Below are 2928 nucleotides of genomic sequence, written 5' to 3'. Positions count from 1 at the left end.
GATGAGAGTGGCAGCTGTTAGGCCTTTTATGGCCTGGGTTCAGAAGTTACATATAACTTTTGTTACATTTGACTGCCCAAAGCAAGTCACAATGTCATCTGAGATTAAAGGGGTGAAGAAGTGAGCCTCAGCTCTCAGTGGGAGGAACTTCAAAGTCACATAGAAAGGGATGTGCAACATGGATGGAAGAAATGGGCCATCTTTAGAAACAGCGTACCACAGTCTATCCTCTAGCCTCAGCAAATCTCTCCCTGTCATGTGCAAAATACATTCACTTTTCCCAAGACCCCCAAAAGTTTCATCTCATTACGGCATGAAGCTTGAAGTGTATTATCTCATGATCTGCATCAGGTTCAGATACAGATAAGACCTCTCAGTGTGGCTCCCCAAGTGCAGCTTCTCTTGATTCAGAGACTTTGAATTTAAATGACAAGCATTCTGTCTCAACACCCCTAAAACTCAGCAGTGGTTTAGGAACTGGATAGACCCAAGAGCCAGTCCTATTTAAAATGGAGAGACCAGGAGCAACAAAGCAGTTGCTGGTCTACAGCAATGATGAAGTCTATCTGATTACATGTTGATGTTGGCTTCCCTTACAAGGGTCAGAGAATGTTCCTTGATGAGAGTCTAGTTCTGCTCCCTGAGAGGGATACCTAGGCCCTTGTTTTCTGTAGCTCTTGGATCTTCTCCCTAGACTCTTGGTTCTATCCTCTAAGATGCATTTATTTATTTTTTGTCCCATAGGAAATTATCTGTGTTGGTAGCTAAGTAGCTTTCCCAGCCGGATTCTTACCCATAGAAAGTGGAGTCTCAGAGGCTTATCTTCTATTTGAGTTACTTCTTTCACTTTTAGTCCAACTTGTAGTACTTTCACTGATTAAAGGCTCTTAAAAATTTTGTGTTTCCTATGAATCTTATTGGGGTTCACCCCATGGCCCCAGTAGCTCTATCCATAATTATTTTTGAGACAGACTTTTCTCTTTGGGTGTGCTAATCTATTGTGGGACAATATATTTAAGACTGTCGGAAACCCCTTTGTCCAGCAGAGAGGGTCTCCTAGTCACTGCCTTTCAGAGGTTCACCAAAGGGTCTTATAAGTGCACACTTGATTTGATCTTTCTGCTGAGGTTATTTCTTATCTGAGAGCCTTTGCCTGACCGAAAATACTGGAAATCAGAACTAGTTTAATTTTTATAAACCAGTAAATTTTTGGCCTTTTATATTTCTTCTAGAACAGTCTTGAAAACTAAAGAGCTGGTTCTTTAGCTCATCCCTCTCTGCCAGTACCTTATCATACACAGCTGAAAGCATCTAACTGATGCTTTTAACATTTTGCCTAGAGATCTTCTTAACTAAATCAATACGTTCATTAAGTACTGTTTGTCTTTCAAGTTACTGCAGACAACATTATTGGCAATTATTCTGCTGCTACGTAACATGGGTTGCCCCTTTTCCAGCCTCTAATAACAATTTCCTCACTTCCTTTCTAGCATACTGAAAGATTGTTCACCATTTTTCCAGCCTTCAGTAACAACCTACTCAGTGACTTCCCAGCTCCTATCTGCTGTGTTGTCCCAGAGCCAATGCCACATGTTTTAGGTTTTTGTTATGGTGGTACCCCTCTACTAGATACAAATTGCTTTAGCAGTTATCTACTGCTGTGCAACAAATCACTCCAAATTTTTGTGGTTTCAAACAAGAACCATTTATTTGCTCACTCTTCTGTGGTTCAGTAATTTGGGCAGGCTTAGCTTGGATGGCTTATCTCTGTTCCACATGATGTTGGCTGGGCTCAGTCATATGCTTGCGGTCAGCAGTCAGTTCATCTGGGAGCCGACTGATCAAGATGGCCTCACTCACATTCATTCCAGTTGGCTGGGGCTAGCAACTGAGGTGCTTCTGTTCTTTTCCATGTGGCCTCTCTAGCAGAAAGCCTGGGCTTTTTACACTGTGGTGGCAGTGTTCCAAGAGGGCAAACCTCAGTGTGCAAGCATTTAGAAATCTCTGGCTTGCATCACATCTGCTGGTGTCCCGTTGGCCAACGAAAGCCACATGGCTGAGCTCAAAGTTGATGTGAGAGTGGATTAAACAAGGGAATGCAATCTGAGGGGCAGGATCCATTGAGGGGCCATTAATGGGACCATCTACCACCCTTGATGTCTTCATTGATCTGTTCTTGCTGGCTTCCAGACATGGTTTGTAATAGGTAATTCTAACACTTACTTCTATTTTGATCTTGTTCTCCTCTTCTTCCACGATTAAGGGAGGATTACAATTACTTTCCTGCCCCCTTTCCTGCCACGCTAGCTATGGCCTGTGGGTTATGGGTAAAGAGCTTATGTTTTTTTCAGATAGAGAATTTAGTTGCTGGAGTGAATACCTCTTGTTTCTCCATTCCTCCCATACTATGTGAGCCCAGAGATCTCTGTTGAGATTGTAGTTTCTTCTGGCCTGGGTAAGGAATGAGCGATGATCGCATGAAACAGAGCCTCTCATCCTTATCTCCACACTTCACACCTGTATCAAGATTTAGCAATTAACCTTTACAGTCTTAGGCTATTGAGACGTTGAGTTCTTTGTTTACCACAGCATAACCCAGCCCATCTTGATGGATACACAGCCTCAGTCTCTCCATGCCCTGTGGTCAGTTCTAGCTTCTTCCCTTGGTAGTTTTTGATATAACTCAAGCTCCAAGAAAGGGAGAAAGATATAGATAATTAAGTGTCTAATAGGAGAGATGAAGGAAGGGGGAAGGAAGAAAGCACTGGGCCATGAGGAGCCCATTGTTTATTTGCCAAGGATTTATGACATGCCTCCTGTATGCCTAGGCTTTGTGCACTGCCTGGGGTATGAAAGATGCATAAGGCATGCTCTGGAAGGGAACACAGACTACGGGGAGGCTGACATGTGAACAGTGAACCCCACTAG

The sequence above is a fragment of the Homo sapiens genome, chromosome 8, assembly GCF_000001405.40.
Source record: "Homo sapiens chromosome 8, GRCh38.p14 Primary Assembly".
NCBI lineage: Eukaryota > Metazoa > Chordata > Mammalia > Primates > Hominidae > Homo > Homo sapiens.
Note: the sequence above shows the minus strand (reverse complement) of the source record.